The sequence below is a fragment of the Homo sapiens genome, chromosome 2 (genome assembly GCF_000001405.40).
Source record: "Homo sapiens chromosome 2, GRCh38.p14 Primary Assembly".
Lineage (NCBI taxonomy): Eukaryota > Metazoa > Chordata > Mammalia > Primates > Hominidae > Homo > Homo sapiens.
The window spans coordinates 178559055-178576911 of NC_000002.12; the positions used below are offsets into that span (position 1 = coordinate 178559055).

General features: G+C 42.6%; 1 protein-coding gene and 1 long non-coding RNA gene across 23 annotated transcripts in view, besides 1 other annotated feature; one reads left to right on the forward strand and one right to left on the reverse strand.

Annotated features, from left to right (window-relative positions):
• The window catches only part of TTN-AS1 (TTN antisense RNA 1), a 97391-nt gene that overhangs the window by 36228 nt on the left and 43306 nt on the right, over positions 1-17857 (forward strand). The window contains exon 2 of one of the 2 annotated variants that reach the window (NR_038271.1): positions 12246-12395. The exons of the other annotated variant lie outside the window; for it this stretch is intronic. This is a non-coding gene — a long non-coding RNA (TTN antisense RNA 1). The remainder of the gene's footprint in view (positions 1-12245; positions 12396-17857) is intronic. 2 annotated transcript variants of the gene reach the window in all.
• TTN (titin) overlaps positions 1-17857 on the reverse strand; it is a 281435-nt gene that overhangs the window by 33066 nt on the left and 230512 nt on the right. For all 21 annotated transcript variants that reach the window (NM_003319.4, NM_133437.4, NM_133432.3 and 18 more), the window contains 2 exons: positions 17475-17777; positions 257-17362 (listed from right to left, as the gene is read on the reverse strand). In NM_003319.4, coding sequence (NP_003310.4) covers positions 257-17362; positions 17475-17777 — 17409 coding nt within the window. The remainder of the gene's footprint in view (positions 1-256; positions 17363-17474; positions 17778-17857) is intronic.
• Positions 16424-17623: an enhancer, noted in NCBI's record as "BRD4-independent group 4 enhancer chr2:179440205-179441404 (GRCh37/hg19 assembly coordinates)". NCBI's record gives its function as "activates an origin of replication core promoter dependent on BRD2, P300/CBP, MED14 and CDK7 cofactors, and independent of BRD4, by STARR-seq in HCT116 cells {active_cell/tissue: HCT116}" and the evidence as "EXISTENCE:reporter gene assay evidence [ECO:0000049][PMID:35650434]".

Below are 17857 nucleotides of genomic sequence, written 5' to 3' on the forward strand. Positions count from 1 at the left end.
ATATATACAGTTAGATTCAATAATACTTAAATTCAACATATATTATCCAATTTTAGCTACGTAAATTTCTGTTTTTTTAATCAATGAAAGACTCTTCACTAGAGATTCCATTTTGTGCCATAGTATGAATAGTTTGGGGTGTGAAGGGTGTGAACCCAAAAGCATTTAAGATGAAATAACGACTAATTAGAATGACTCACACTATTCTAGCAAAATTAACGTGGATATGTAGAATTTCCTTATTCTTAAAACATACCTGTTATTTTTACTCCTTCCTTTGTTTCAGCTGGTATACCAACACCAAACTCATTTTCTCCAGAGACTCTGAAGTAATAGATAGCTCCTTCTTGTAAATTGGTAACTTTGTAGGAGAGGCGGTTACAGTTGTTGGTCACAGAGACCCATGCTTTCTTGCTGGCCTCACGTTTTTCTATGTGGTAATTCTTCACTGGTGCTCCACCATCGTTTTCAGGAACATCCCAGGATAACACTGCAGACTCTTTGGTTACATCTTGCACAGTAATGTTGGTTGGAGGACCTGGGGTATCTAAAACTTTGACAACTAAGGTCAGTGAAGCAGCACTCAAAACATTCTGAATTGTTAATGTGTACTTTCCAGAGTCATTTCTGTTGGCATTTTCAATGGTCAGTGATGTACGAGAGTCTGTGGTATCAACATAAGCTCTAGTACGGAGGTCAGTGTCTGGCTTACTCCACAAGACATTGGGTACTGGTCTTCCTCGGAAAGGCACAGTCATGGTAAATGAGGCACCAGCCTTGACAATCAAGGTCTTCCTCATTTCACTGTCAATATCAAATAAAGGTTCTTCTTCTCTTTCCTTTGCTATCTGAGGGTCAGAGCTATCACTGGGGTCACTAGCACCAACCTTATTGACAGATTTTACTCTGAAAACATATTCAGCTCCTGTTGTTAGTCCGCTTATTGTATATTCTGTCCCTCGTAAGCTCTGAATGGAAGTTTTCCAGTCAGTGTCATCAGATTTTTTGTATTCTACAGTATATCCAGTTATCGGGGCCCCACCATCAAACAGCGGCTTAACCCAGGCAATAGTTATAGTTGTCTTGCCTGAGTCCACAATTTTGGGTTTGGATGGAGGAGATGGTAGGAACACTGGATCTTCTGCCCTAATTAAGGGAGAGGTTTCACTTGGAAGACTTAGGCCAGCAGCATTTTCTGCATAAACACGATATTCATATTCACATCCTTCCCGAAGTCCTGTTGATTTCACTCTTAGATCATAAACTGGTTTTTTGTTTACACGCACCCATCTTAGGCTATTTTTCTCTCGCCTTTCAATTATATATCCAGATATTTCACTACCTCCATCACTCTCGGGTCTTGACCAGCAAAGTGTCATAGATTCTTTGGTCACAGAAGTAATTTCCAAAGACGTGGGTGGACTTGGAACTGTAAATGGATCTAGTGCCTTTATAGCTACACTCTCTAGGGGCTCACCAACACCATATTTATTAACACCAGTTACTCTAAATATATATTCATTGCCTTTGAGTAACTTGGTTACTTTACAGGATGTCATCTGTAACTCTCCTTCACATATTGTCCATGCAAGGTGGCTTGTTTCACGTTTTTCTACGATGTAATAGTCGATATCTGCACCACCATCTTCTTGGGGACGTCCCCAGGAAAGAGAGCATTTCTCAGCAGTGAGGCCATTTATTTCAAGTGGTCCTGCTGGTGGACCAGGCTTATCAAGTACTTTGCAATTAACGGCCACAGACCGAGTGCCGGCAACATTCTTCAGTGTTAGTACATATTGCCCAGTGTCTCGTCTTATACAGTCTTTAACTGTTAACAAAGTATGATTGTCTGTTGAGATGATTTCTGTTCTTGCTCTTTCTTCAATTTCTATACCATCCTTGGCCCAGGAAATTACTGGCAGAGGTCGCCCTGCAATGTCTGCATTTATCTTAAGGACCTCTCCAGCTTTGACAACAATAACGTCTCGGAACTTGACATCCATCATAACTCTTGGAGGCTCAACATCATCTTTAACTATAATAGGCCCAGTGGATTCAGATGGCTCACTAACTGAGTCAGCAGCATTCCTTGCAAAAACCCGGAATTCATAACGCTGATCTTCAGTAAGTTCAGTTACTTCAAAGTATGTTTCTTGTATATTAGTATAATTGCACTTCAGCCACCGGCCATCTGGTAGTTCTCTGCGTTCAACAATGTATCCTGTGATCTTAGCTCCACCATCATAATGTGGTTTAGACCATTTAAGTGACACTGATTTTCTTGTGATATTTGTGACTTCAGGTTGTCCAGGAGGGTCACAAGGATCTCTTGCAGGGACTGGTTCACAAGATTTACTGCATTTACCAATTCCAGCAATATTTTCAGCATATACACGATACTCATACATCAGTCCTTCATCAAGGCCGGAGACTTTCATTTGAGTATCAGCAATGAGGATTTTATTTGCTTTTGACCAAAGAATGCTGCTTCTTTCTTTATACTCAAGATGATAGCCAATTACTCGACTTCCTCCATCATTAACTGGCACTTGCCAGGTTACAAGCATGGTAGATTTTGTGGCATGCACAACTTTAGGAGTACCAGGAGGACCTGGGGGACTGAATGGATACTCTGCAACAACAGCTGAAGATTCACTGTAGGAGCTCTTTCCATAGCGGTTTTCTGCACAAACACGGAACTGATACTCACTTCCTGTTGTCAGGCGAACTATTTTAATGGATGTTCTTGCAACTGCTTGTGAAACTATGTGCCATGTTGTAGAGGTGGTTTCTTTCTTTTCAACAATGTAATTGCTAATTTGGCAGCCACCATCATATTCTGGAGGATTCCAAGAAATGGTTATGCTGTCACAACTAACCTCATCAATACGTATAGGACCTGGAGGTCCTGGTCTGTCAAGGACAATTATAGTAATAGGAACTGTTATGGATCCAGCACTGTTTGAAACACATAATTCATAAGTTCCAACATCTTCCTTTGAAGCTTCCTTAATAGATAGTGATGTTACAGTCTTTGAAGAAGAAACATTGACTCTAGTTGTCTCTTTAAGAGTCTGACCATCTTTTCTCCAGTTCACAGTAGCTTGAGGTCTTCCTTTGAATGGCACATCAATCTTAAGTTGTTCTCTAGCCTTTACATTGAAAGTATGGAAAGGAAGCTCAACTGAAGGCTTTATTTCAATATCCCTTGCAATTACTGGCACTCCAAGTTGTCTTGGATCACTTCTTCCCTTTTCGTTAACTGCAGCTACCCTGAAGACATACTCTTCTCCTGCAGTTAAGCCAGATATAGTTGCTTCTAGAGTCTTAACTTGTGTGCAGGTGCTCCACTTTTCACTCCCTTTAGTCTGCATTTCAACCACATAACCAGTAATTTTGCTGCCACCATCACTTTCTGGTTTCTCCCACTTAATTGTAGCTGTATTACGGGTCACATCAACAAGAGTTACTCTTCCAGGTGGGAGGGGTGGTTCAGACACTTTAACGGGTTCTGTTGTTTCAGCTGGCAAACCAATCCCATATTCATTGGAAGCCAAGACTCGGAAGTAGTAAGAACATCCTTCTTGTAGATTTTCAATTCTGAAAGTAGTTTTAGTGCAATTATTTGTAATGGTAGCATAGGCTTTTCTTGTAGTTTCTCGTTTTTCGACAATGTAGTTTGTAATCTTAGCTCCACCATCAATAAGTGGTGGTTCCCAGGACAACGTCACTGAGTCTTTCTTCACTTCTCTTATGGTCAAATTCACAGGGGCACTTGGTGAGTCAAGAACTCTGACGTTAACAAAAGCTGTTTTGGAGCCACTATTATTTTCTAATGTCAGATTATACCGACCACTGTCAAATCTGGTAACATTATCAATCACCAACATTGTAAATGAGCTGGTCACCTCTATCTGAGCCCTGTCAGTGAGAATGCCTTCTGCCTTTTCCCATTTAACTTCGGGTTCTGGTCGACCTTTGATAGTGACAAATAAGCGTAAAGTAGCACTTGCACGCAGAACGACCACCTTTCTGAGATCAGCATCGAGTTCTATTTCTGGTGGCTCTATCCTCTCCTGAGCAACCACTGAGCCAGGTAGAGTTGCAGGTTCACCTACACCTTCAGAATTGATGGCACAAATACGGAAGTTATATTCAGTGTTTTCTTTAAGCTTGGTCACTGTGAACTGCTTTCCTTGTAATCCTGTTGGTGGAGTGCAGGTTGTCCATTCATCCGCAGCAGCTTCTTTGACCTCTACAACATAGCCTTTAACAGGTGCGCCACCATCATAAATTGGCTTACTCCATGCCAGGGAGACAGAAGATCTGGAAGTGTCCGTCACTTTTGGATTGCTTGGGGGACCTGGTGGATACAAGGCATCACACGCACGGTAGAAAACAGATGGCTCACTAGGTTCTCCCACACCAGCTGCATTTTCAGCAGCAACTCTGAATTCATAGGAATGGCCTTCGGTAAGACCAGTTACCCTGAGCCGCAGATCCGTTAATGTTTTCTTGTTGCACTTGGTCCATCTAACGCCTTCCTTATCTCGTTTTTCAAGAATGTAGCCCTCAATTTCGGTACCTCCGTCGTCTACTGGGCGTGCCCATGTTACTACCATAGAATCTTTGGTGATTGCTGAGACTTCAGGTGTTGAGGGAGGACCTGGTGGCTTATAAGGATTACAGGCCGTAACAGGCCCAGATTCCAAGGGCTCTCCAATTCCATATTTATTCACAGCCATGACACGGAAAATGTACTCATTACCAGGAAGAAGTTTAGTAACTTTGTAGTTAAGGGCCTGTACCTCAGTTGAAACCTGGGTCCAAGAGAGTCGGCTTGTCTCCCTCTTTTCAATGATGTAATGTGAAATATTAGCACCACCATCTTGCAAAGGTGGGTTCCATGCCAGGTAACATTTTTCCGCAGTAACTCCAGTAACTTTCAGAGGCCCTTCAGGAGGCCCTGGCCTGTCAAGTACCTTTACAGTGATGGGTATAGACTTTGTACCACCAACATTGCTGAGTTTCAGAATATATTGTCCTCCATCAGTCCGTATACAGTCTTTGACAACAAGAGTTGTTTTCTGAATAGTAGATTTAATTTCCATTCTAGCAGCTGTTTCTTCAAGTTCTTTTCCATCTTTTGACCAAACAACATCAGGTATAGGTTTGCCACGGATGTCGGCTTCAAGAACAAAAGTCTCTCCTGCATGAACAACGATGACATCTTTATATTTTGGATCCAGAGAGGCATTTGGTGCATCAATTTCATCTCTTGCAGTAATGGCACCACTACTATCAGATGGTTCACTAAAGTTTCCAGCTGCATTTCTTGCAATTACTCTAAATTCATATCTTTGGTCTTCTACAAGTCCACTCACTGTAAATTCAGTTTCTAATACGTTGGTAAAGCTGGCTTTCATCCAGCGGCCATCAGGTAGATCTTTCTTTTCTACAATATAACCTGTTATTTTGCTACCACCATCATAGGCAGGTTTCTTCCATTTCAGTGTGACATTGTTTCTTGTAATAACAATGGCTTCAGGGCGACCAGGTGGGTCACATGGATCACGAGCAACAAAGCATTCTGACACTTTGCTAGGCTTGCCAATGCCAACAATATTTTCAGCAGAAACTTTGAACTCATACTCAAGGCCCTCATCAAGCCCAGTTGTTTTGAATTTGGTGTCCTGAATGGGGGTCTTATTTAACTTGACCCATAAAATACTGTTCTTTTCTTTCTGTTCAAGATGGTAGCCAATAATTTTGGTGCCTCCATCATTCACTGGCTCATGCCATTGCACAAGCATCTGATCTTTTGAGATTGATGTCACAAAAGGAGTTCCAGGTGGTCCAGGTTCTTTAAATGGATATTGTACAATAACTGCCTTAGAATCCAGTGGGGCACTTTTTCCATACCTGTTTTCAGCAAAAATTCTAAACTGGTACTCCGTGCCTGTTTTCAGTTTGGTTATTTTAATTGTTGTTCTTGCAACTGTTGCTGATACCATGTGCCAAGTGGTGGTGGTTGTATCTCGCTTCTCTACAATGTAGTTGCTTATTTGGCAGCCACCAGTATAGGCTGGAGGTTCCCAAGATATGACTACAAAGTCTGCACTAACTTCATCAAACCGAACTGGGCCAACTGGAGGTCCAGGCTTTTCTAAAACGATAACACTGAGATTTTCTGTTGCTGTGCCTGCACTATTTGTTGCCGTTACGGTGTATTTTCCAAAGTCATCTTTGTTACCTTCTTTAATGTGCAAAACAGTTGAGGTAGCTGTTTCTTCAACGTTTACTCTTGTTGTCTGTTTAAGAGGCTCACCATCTTTGACCCAAGAAATGTTAGGTCTTGGTCGGCCTATAACTGGAATTTCTATTTTAAGATCTTCTCCAGCTTGGATACTATATGTGTTAAATGGTAACTTTAAACTAGGCTGTATAGTCAAGTCCTTGGCTATGACAGGAACACCCAACACTCTTGGATCGCTTTTTCCTTTCTCATTATAAGCCTTGACACGGAACTGATATTCTTGTCCAGAACTCAAACCAGTAACAACTGCATTACAGACTTTGGATTCAGCCACAATGCTCCATTTTTCAGTTCCTTTGGGCTGCATTTCAACAACGTACCCCAGGACTCTGCTACCGCCATCATGTTCAGGTTTCTCCCACATAAGTGATGCACTGGTCTGGGACACATCAGTGAGTGTAACCTTTCCTGGTGGGGAAGGAGGTTCAGCAGCTTTCACGGCATCAACAGTTTCCACTGGAACACCAACTCCAAATTCATTTTCAGCCATGACTCTGAAGTAATAAATGGCTCCTTCTGTAAGGTTTTCCACTTTAAAACTTGTTTTGCTGCATTTACTACTCACATTAGCATACGCTTTTCTGGTTGACTCACGTTTGTCAATCACATAGTTCTTGACCTTTGCCCCTCCATCAATGATGGGTGGCTCCCATACCAGGAAGGCAGAATCTTTTCTCACTTCTTTGACTGCCAAATTCTGTGGTGGTCCTGGAGTGTCAAGAACTTTCACAGTTACAAAAGCAGACTTTGATCCACTGCTGTTTTCCAACTTAAGAATGTATTTTCCAGCATCATTTCTATCACAGTTATCTATTGATAGTTGGGTATAGTTTACTCCCTTTTCAATTTGGACCTTATCTGTGAATTCACCTTCCTCTCGAGACCAAGTGATCTCAGGCGTTGGACGACCTTTGAATGGAATGTGAATTCTGGCAGATCCACCAGCTCTTACAACAATTCCTTTTCTTAATTCGGAGTCAAGGTCAAGTTCAGGTGCTTCAAGTTTATCTTCTGGTTTCACAGTACCAGGAACTGATGTAGCCTCACCTAAACCAACTTTGTTGAGGGCACAGACTCGTATTTTATACTCTTGGTGTTCAGTGAGTTTTGAAATTTCAAATCGAGTGACTCTCAGGCCAGTCTGTGGAGTAACTATTTGCCATTCTTCTTCATCTGCTTTACAGATTTCTACTACATATCCCAAGATCTCACTGCCGCCATCATAGATGGGTTTACCCCAGGCAAGTGTGATTGAATTTTTAGTGGTGTCTACAATGTGTGCATTGGTAGGTGGGCCAGGTTTGAACACAGGATCACAGGCTTTATAATAAACTGTAGCTGGACTTGGTTCCCCAACTCCAGCAGCATTTTCTGCAGAGACCCTGAATTCATACTCATGATCTTCTGTTAATCCTGTCACTCTTAGACGCAAATCTGTAATGCGGCGTTTATTACATTTTATCCATCGAATGCCACTTCTGTCTCTTTTCTCTACAATGTAACCAATAATCTCACTTCCACCATCACTATCTGGACGGTTCCAACAGACGGTCATGGAGTCTTTGGCAATATTTGTGACTTCCAAGCTTTTTGGTGGTCCAGGAAGCACAAATGGATTTTTCATTAGTACTGGTGCAGATTCCAAAGGCTCTCCAACACCATATTTGTTGACAGCCATTATACGGAAAACATATTCATTACCTTCTAAGAGTTTGGTAACTTTCAGAGAATTGGTCACAACTTCTGAAGCAACAACAGTCCAGGCAAGTCGACTGGTTTCTCGCTTTTCAACAACATAGTGAGAAATGTCACTGCCACCATCTTGAAGTGGTGGAGACCATGTTAAAGAGCATTTTTCAGAAGTGACTCCAGTAACCTGGACTGGCCCTTCTGGAGGTCCTGGTCTATCTAATACTTTTACATTTACTGGGAATGACTTAGAACCTGCAACATTGGAAGCTCTTAAAATATACTGCCCACCATCAATTCTAATTGCATCTTTTACAATAAGTAAAGCCTTGAAATCTGTGTTCTTTATTTCACATCTAGCAGATTCTTCAATTTCCTTATCTCCTCTTAACCACTCAATGGTAGGTAGGGGCTTTCCATGGACATCAGCCTCAAGTCTGAATGTTTCTCCAGCATTTACCACAATTGTGTCTCTGAATTTTGGATCCATTGAAATTCTTGGGAGTTCAACCTCATCCTTGGCAGTTATTGGTCCAGTACTGTCAGAGGGTTTACTTATTGCACCAGCTGCATTCTTTGCAATGACTCTGAATTCATATCTTTGATCTTCAGTAAGACCTGACACAGTAAATTGAGTTTCAATGACATTTGTAAAGCTAGCTTTCATCCAACGACCATCAGGCAAATCACGTTTCTCTACAATGTAGCCTGTAATCATACTTCCACCATCATACACAGGTTTGGTCCACTGTAAAGTGATTTCATTTCTTTTAACCATTATTGGTTCTGGGGTTCCTGGTGGGTCACAGGGATCTCTGGCTACATAGCATTCAGAATTCTTGCTTGCTTTGCCTACACCAACAATATTTTCAGCATACACTCTGAATTCATATTCAATGCCTTCTTCAAGATTCTGTGCTTTGAATTGGGTGTCATGAATAATAGTTTTGTTGACCTTTGTCCACAAAATACTGTTTCTTTCTTTTCTCTCCAGGTGGTAACCTATGACGGGGCTTCCACCATTGTTGACTGGTTCATGCCACTGTATGACCATGGAGTCTTTGGAAATGGCTGTGGCAAATGGTGTACCTGGAGGGCCTGGTTCTTTGTAGGGATATTGAGCTACAATTGGATCAGACTCTAAGGCAAAGCTTTGTCCATATCTGTTTTCGGCAAATATTCTAAATTGGTATTCTGTACCAGTTTTCAGTTTGGTCACTTTGAGTGTAGTTCTAGCAACAGTAGCAGAAACAACATCCCATACTGTGGTGGTTGTATCTCTTTTCTGAACAATGTAGTTGGTGATTTGGCAGCCCCCTGTATATAATGGAGGGTTCCAAGATAATGTAATACTTTCAGCACTGACGTCATCAAATTTAACAGGTCCTTTTGGAGGATCAGGTTTATCTAGAGTTACAATTTCGATGGATGCTGTCTTCTGACCAACAACATTGGCAACTGTGATTCCATATTGTCCACCATCATCCTTATGAGTTTCTTTAATACTGAGTGTGGTGAGATCCAGTGAATCGGTAACATTGATTCTTGTGGTCTGCTTCAGTGGGAGACCATCTTTAGTCCAGGTAATGGTTGGCTTAGGACGTCCAGAAATTGGCACTTCTATTTTCAAATCTTGGCCAACCTGTACACTGTAACTACTGAATGCAGGTTTTACATCTGGCTCAATTACCAGATCTTTGGCAACTATTGGAACTGCAAGGGACCGAGGATCACTTCTCCCCTTTTCATTTACAGCAACAACTCTAAAAAGATATTCTTCCCCTTGAGTTAGGTTGGTAATTACTGCCTGAAGAGACTTTACTCGAGCACACTCTGACCATTTCTCACTGTGTTTAGCTTGCATTTCCACAATATACTGAATGATTTTACTGCCACCATCATGTTCAGGTTTTGTCCAACTCAGAGAGACACTGTTTCTGGTGACATCATCCACAGTTATTTTTCCAGGAGGTTGTGGCACTTCTGCAACCTTAATTGGATCAGCAGTCTGGGCAGGAAGGCCAATACCATACTCATTCTCAGCTGTGACTCTAAAGTAATAACTGCAACCTTCTTGGAGCTGATCGATTTTCCAAGAATTCTTATGGCAGTTAGTTACAACAGCAGCATATGATTTTCTTGTGGCTTCACGTTTCTCAACAATGTAATTTTTTATTTTGGATCCCCCATCCAACAAAGGAGGTTCCCATGTAATTGATACTGAGTCTTTGGTGATTTCTGTGACTTTCAGGTTAACAGGTGGACTTGGCGTGTCCAGAACTCTCACAGTAACAAAGGCAGACTTTGTTCCACTGCTGTTTTCTAATGTAAGCGTATATTTTCCACTATCATATCGGTTGACATTGTCAAGAACAAGAGAGGTGAAACTGCTAGTGACATCAATTATAGCTGCATCTCGGATTTCACCATCCACCTTTCCCCATTTAACTTCTGGTGTAGGACGACCTTTTATAGGAACAAATAACCTTAAGGAGCCACCTGCCCTTATATTTATGATTTTCCTTAGTTCTAGGTCAAGATCAATGTCTGGTGCTTCTAATTTTTCTTCAACTATAATAGGTCCAGGGACGTCAGCATGTTCTCCAACTCCAGCTTTATTAATAGCACAGATACGGAAGTTGTATTCATGCTTTTCCAACAGCTTCTCTACTTCTATGTTTGTTTTATTAATTCCTGTTGGTGGAGTGCACATTGTCCATTCACCAACACTCACATCACATTTTTCAACAATGTATCCTTGAATTTCACAGCCACCATCATATATTGGTTTGCTCCAAGAAAGGAATACTGAAGATCTGGTTATGTCTATGACTTTGGGGTTGTTTGGGGGTCCTGGTTTATAAATAGGATCACAAGCCTTTTGGTAAGCAGAAGGAGGGCTTGGTTCACTAAGTCCAGCAGCATTCTCAGCAGAAACTCTGAACTCATAATCGTGATTTTCTATGAGTCCAGTTACTCTCAGGCGCAACTCTCCAATCAGACGCTTATGGCATCTTGTCCATCTAATGCCTTCTTTATCCCGTTTCTCAAGAACATATCCAAGAATTTCACTACCACCATCAGATGCTGGTCTTTCCCATACAACAATCATTGAGTCCTTGGTCACTGTTGTGACTTCTGGAGCTTTTGGTGCATCTGGTACTACAAATGGATTCTTGGCAACTACTGGCTCAGATTCAAGAGGTTCACCAACACCATATTTGTTTACTGCCATTATACGGAAAGTATATTCATTGCCTTCAAGAAGCTTAGTAACCTTGCAGCTGAGAGTCTGCACATTGGCATCAACCACAGTCCAAACTAAGCGGCTGGTTTCTCTCCTTTCCACAATATAATTTATGATGTCACTCCCACCATCCTGAAGTGGGGGTTTCCAAGCTAGTGTGCATTTTTCTGCTGTAACTCCTGAGATAACAACAGGTCCTTCAGGTGGCCCTGGTCTGTCAAGAACCTTGACATTCACAGTAACTGATCTTTCTCCTGCAACATTTTTGGCCTTCAGTATGTAATTTCCACTGTCGACACGTACTGCATCTTTTACACTGAGACTGGTGGCAAAGTCGGTGCTCTTTATTTCTAATCGAGCTGTGTTTGAAAGCTCCTGATCACCTTTTATCCACTGAATGGTTGGTATTGGTTTGCCATAAATATCTGCATCAACCTTGAATGATTCACCAGCATGAACCACGATTGTGTCTTTGTATTTTGGATCCATACTTATTCGTGGTGGATCTACCTCATCTCTAGCTGTTATTGCTCCTGTGCTTTCTGAAGGCTCACTAAACACTCCTGCGGCATTTCGGGCTATAACCCGGAACTCATATCTGTGATCTTCAACTAGGCCAGTTACTTCAAAATGAGTGTCAATAATATTTGTAAAACTGGCTTTCATCCAACGGCCCTCAGGTAATTCTTTCTTCTCAACAATATAACCAGTGATCTTGCTTCCACCGTCATAGGTGGGTTTCTTCCACTGAAGAGTCACAGAATTCCTTGTGACAATGATTGCCTCTGGCCGTCCTGGTGGATCACATGGGTCACGAGCCACATAACATTCTGATACTTTACTCGGCTTGCCAATGCCCACGATGTTCTCTGCAGAGACTCTAAATTCATATTCAACACCTTCTTCAAGGCCAGTTGTCTTAAACTTGGTTTGAGGAATAGGTGTTTTATTCAACTTAACCCAGAGGATGCTATTTCTTTCCTTGCGTTCTAGATGATAGCCAATGACTCTACTTCCTCCATCACTGATTGGCTCATTCCATTGTACTTCCATGCTGTCCCTGGAGGACAGTGTGACAACTGGAGTGCCAGGAGGACCAGGAACTTTGAATGGATATTGGGCTACAGTAGGCTCTGAATTGAGGTAGGTACTCTTCCCATATCTGTTTTCAGCTGCAATTCTAAACTGATATTCACATCCAGTCTTCAGTCTGCAAGCCTTTATTGTTGTCCTTGCAACTGTAGCTGATACAATTTGCCAGGTGGTTGTGGAAGTGTCCCGTTTCTCAACAATGTAATTATTGATAGAACTTCCACCATCATACTTGGGTGGGCCCCAGGAAAGAGTAATACTATCAGCTGTCACTTCATCCATTTTAACTGGTCCAGTTGGAGGCCCTGGTTTGTCAAGAACGATAACATTAAGGGTTTCAATAGCTTCACCAGCTGAGTTAGTCAGTTTAACCACATAATGGCCAACATCTTCTCGGCAGGCGTCCTTTATTGTCAGTAGTGAATTATTTTCTGTGCTCTCTGCATTTACTCTAGTTGTCTGCTTCAGTGGTACATTATCTTTATGCCAGGTTACAGCTGGGGTAGGGCGGCCAATGAATGGAACATCAACTTTTAGGTCTTCACCTGCCAGTACAGTGAAAGTATTGAACAGGAGTTTGAAGGCTGGTGGAATGACAAGATCTTTGGCGATCACTGGCACACTCAGTTGTCTAGGATCACTGATGCCCTTTTCATTCTGAGCTGAAACACGGAAAGAGTATTCTTCACCCTGAATTAATCCAGTGATAGTGGCTTCAGTGACCTTGACTGTGGCACACGTGGCCCATTTGTCACTGCCTTTGGTCTGCATCTCCACAATGTAGCCTAGAATTCGGCTGCCTCCATCATGCTCTGGTTTCTCCCAAGAGAGTGACACACTATTTCTTGTGACATCCATCAAAGTTATTTTTCCTGGAGGAAGAGGTCGTTCTGATGCTTTCACAGATTCTGCGGTTTCAGCAGGCAGCCCAATGCCATATTCATTTTCTGCGAGAACCCTGAAATAGTAGCTACAGCCTTCTTGAAGCTGGTCTACCTTCCAGGAAGTCTTGTGGCAGTTTGTTGCAACAGTTGAATATGCTTTTCTTGTTGATTCCCGCTTTTCAACAATATAGTTCTTGATTTTTGAACCTCCATCAAGGAGAGGTGGGTCCCATGTGAGTGTGACAGATGTCTTAGTGACCTCTTTTACCTTCAGATCCTGTGGGGGGCCTGGTGTATCGAGAACTCTAACATTGACAAATGCAGACTTGCTGCCTGAACTATTTTCTACAGTTAGTATATATTTGCCACTGTCAAATCTGTTTACATTTCCAACAATAAGCAGGGTGTAAGAGCTTGTGGATTCGATGCTAGCTTTATCTAAAGATTCTCCATGGTCCCGGGCCCACTTCACCTCAGGTGCAGGCCTTCCTTTGATGGGAACAAAAAGTCTCAGGGTGCAGCAGGCCCTTATAGTAACAACTTTGCGCAGGTCAGCATCCAGTTCAATTTCTGGAGGCAGCATTCTGTCTTCAGCCTTTGGAGTTCCAGGAACAAGGGCAGGTTCCCCAAGTCCTTCGGAATTCATGGCATAGATGCGGATCTTATATTCCTGATTCTCTGTGAGGCCAGTGATAGTATACGAAGTTGCCTTGAGTCCTGCTGGTGGAGTGACAATCTGCCATTCATCTTCCTCTGGCAGGGCAATCTCAACCATATACCCAGTGATTTCTGAACCACCATCATAGATAGGTTTATTCCAAGCGATTGAAATGGATGATCTGCTTGTATCCAGAACACGTGGGTTACCTGGTGGTCCAGGTTTAAACACAGTGTCACAAGCCTTGTAAAATGGACTGGTAGGACTTGGTGCACTAATTCCAGCAGCATTTTCAGCCATAATCCTGAACTCATATTCATGTCCTTCTGTCAGTCCAGACACTTTATATCTTAAATCAGTAAGAGTTTTTTTGTTGCATTTAATCCAGCGTTGGCCAGCTTTATCACGCCGTTCCACAATATAATTGATGATTTCACTTCCACCATCAGAATCAGGATGTCCCCAGCAGACAACCATCGAATCTTTAGTAATAGTTGTCACTTCAGGGTTTTTGGGCGGATCAGGGGGTCCATAAGGATTCACTGCAAGCACAGGCTCTGATTCCAGTGGCTCTCCCACTCCATATTTATTTACAGCCATGACACGGAATATGTATTCATTGCCTTTCAAGAGTTTAGTGACCTTTAGCTTTGTTACTTGGACTTCTGAGGCTACATTTGTCCATGCCAATCTGCTGGTTTCACGTTTCTGTACTATGTAATGATCAATTTTGGCACCTCCATCATCCAGTGGAGGGAACCATGATAGTACACACTTTTCTGATGTCACTTCAGTTACAGCCAAAGGTCCTTCAGGTGGGCCTGGTCTGTCAAGAACTTTGACATTGAAAATGTGTTTAGCAAAGCCACCAGGATTAGTCGCTGTAAGGGTATAGGCACCACTATCCCTTCTTGTTGAATCTTTGTTTACCAGATTAGTAGAGAAATCTGCAATTTTTATTTCTAACTTTGCTGTGCCTTCCAGCTCTTTTCCATCTTTGCTCCATTCCATTGTTGGAGGTGGGCGGCCTGAAACATCAGCTTCCAGTCTGAATGCTTCACCTGCTTTTAATATAACCGTGTCCTTAAATTTAACATCCACCTTTATCTTTGGTGCCTCAACATCATCCCTGCAAGTGATAGCATCAGATGGCTCAGATGGTGGACTGATGGCACCTGCAGCATTTTTGGCGATCACACGGAATTCATATGCAGCATCTTCTGTTAGGCCACTGACTGTAAATTCATTCTCCAAAATGTTGCTGAAGTTGGCCTTCAGCCACCGTCCATTAGGAAGGTCTCTCTTTTCAACGATATAACTGGTAATTTTAAAGCCCCCAGTATATTCAGGCTTAGCCCATTTAAGTGTTACTGTGTGTCTTGTAATATTTAGAGGTACTGGTTTTCCAGGTGGGTCAATGGGATCCAGAGCCAACATAGGTTCTGATGGCTTGCTTGGCTTACTTTTGCCTGCCATGTTTTCTGCAATCACCCGGAACTCATAAGCAATACCATCTGTAAGTCCACTTGATTTGAAAATGTTGCCTGGTACTAAAGCTTTGCTCACAGTCTGCCAGAGAATACCATTTCGTTCTTTTCTTTCAACATGATATCCTAAAATGGGGCTTCCACCATCAGAAAGTGGCTCATGCCAGCTAATTGTCATTGAATCCTTGGTAACTGCAGTTACCTGAGGGGTACCAGGAGGTCCAGGAACCTTAAATGGATAGTTGGCAACTATGCATGCTGATGTGATGCCTGGTCCAACTCCATATCTATTCTGAGCTTTTACACGGAACTGATACTCTAATCCAGTAGTAAGGCGGGTGGCTTTATAGGTAGTACGTATAACGGTGGTTGCTAACTCAACCCAGGTAGTACTGTCAGTCTGCCGCATTTCCACTACATAGTTGCTTATTGGTACACCACCATCGTTCTCAGGTGGGTCCCAAGAGAAGGTTACAAAATCAGATGAAACTTCATCAAATTTGATTGGTCCAGTAGGTGGCCCTGGGATATCATGGACTTGAATGGTGATGACATCACCAACCTCTCCTACAATGTTCCTTGCTGTTAATGGATAGGGCCCACTATCACTTCTGACACACTCATTGATATTTAAAATGGTTGAAGTCGCTGTGGTTTCAAAATTAACTCTCTGTGTCTGTTTAAGAATTTGGTCTCCTTTTTTCCATGTCACTGTGGGCTTCGGTCGACCGAGCACTGGAATTTCAACTTTGATGTTGTCACCAGCTTTGGCAATGACCAGTTTCTGATAGATGCCACGGAGATCCAGCTCTGGAAGCATTGTCTGCTCCTTGACAATGACGGGTCTGCTTTCTCTAGGGGCACTTCTCCCCGCGCTGTTCACTGCCATCACTTGGAAGGTATATTCCTCTCCTTCAGTTAGATTCCTCACAACACATTCTAACCCTTTCACGGTTGTGATGTGGGTCCACTGGTCAGAGCCTTTTCTTTGGGCTTCAATCACATAGCCAGTGATCTTGCTGCCACCATCGTGTTTGGGCTTAGGCCATGCCAGGCTGACGGTGCTCTTAGTTATGTCCATGATGTTAAGGCTGTCTGGTGGAGATGGTGCTTCAGAGGCTTTTACGGGCTCTGTAGTTTCTGTTGGCTCACCAATTCCATATTCATTCTCTGCCATCACTCTGAAGAAATATTCACACCCTTCAGACAAGCCGGTAACTTTATATGTGCATTTATGGCACTTAGTGGTGGCTGTGGAATAAGATTTCCGTGTTGCTTCACGTTTCTCTACAATGTAGTTTGTTATACGTGAGCCTCCATCTATCAGAGGGAGGTCCCAGTGCAGGGTGACACTGTCCTTTGTGATGTCTGTAGGCCGCAGGTTGAGGACTGGGCCTGGCGTGTCCAAGACTCTGACGTTCACAAAGCCACTTTTCTTCCCAGCCGGGTTTTCAATGGTCATGACAAATTTACCGGTATCATATCTGTTACATTCTGGGATAATCAGAAGAGTAAATGATTCCGTATTTTCAATGTTGGCTCGGTTTTTCAGGTTGATGTTATCTTTGGTCCATGTCACTTCAGGAGCAGGACGACCTTTAATTGGCACAAATATCCTAATACTGAGTCCTGCTCTAACAACAAGTGTTCTTCGAAGCTCGGCATCTAGTTCAAAATCAGGAGCCATCTCCCGTTCTACGATTTCAACATCTGGAATCACCGCTGGCTCCCCAACACCTGCATCGTTGATGGCACTGATTCTGAAGTTGTATTTTTCTTTAGTCTGAAGATCAGGAACAACGAACTGAGTGATTCTGAGGGCGGTTCCTGTGGTATCTTTTATCCAGGCCTCGTCTCCTACTTTTTGATGCTCCACGACATAGCCAGTGATTTCAAGTCCACCATCATAATGAGGCTTGCCCCATGCCAAAGAAGCAGATTTCTTGGTAGTATCAGTGACATGCGGATTTGAAGGTGGTCCTGGAGGATCTGAGAAAGAAACAAAGACACAAAAGTATATATTCAGAGTTTGGCTTTTGGGTAATTTAGATAAAATATTGGCACTCTGGAATGAACGGTGTTGAAAAAGACAAATACTAACATGCTGCATCTTTCATCAGAACAGAATCTGAAGCCTCACTGGGTGGACCAATTCCTGCTCTGTTTTCTGCACTGACACGGAATTCGTAGGTGCTTCCTTCTTGCAGTCCTGTTACTTTGCACCTGAGATCGGAAACTGGTGTTTTTATTGCTCTCACCCATCGCAGGCTTTTCTTTTCTCTCCTTTCTACATGATATCCTGTAATTTCGCTGCCACCATCATCCACTGGCCTTTTCCAGCTGACAGTGGCAGTGTTCTTAGTGACATTTGATACCTCTGGTTTTTCAGGAGGGCCAGGGGGACCTGAAAAGGAAGCAAATTTATTAGAAATCCATGATTTCCTAAACTCTGCTATAAATGTTTCCATGTCAATTCCCTCACAT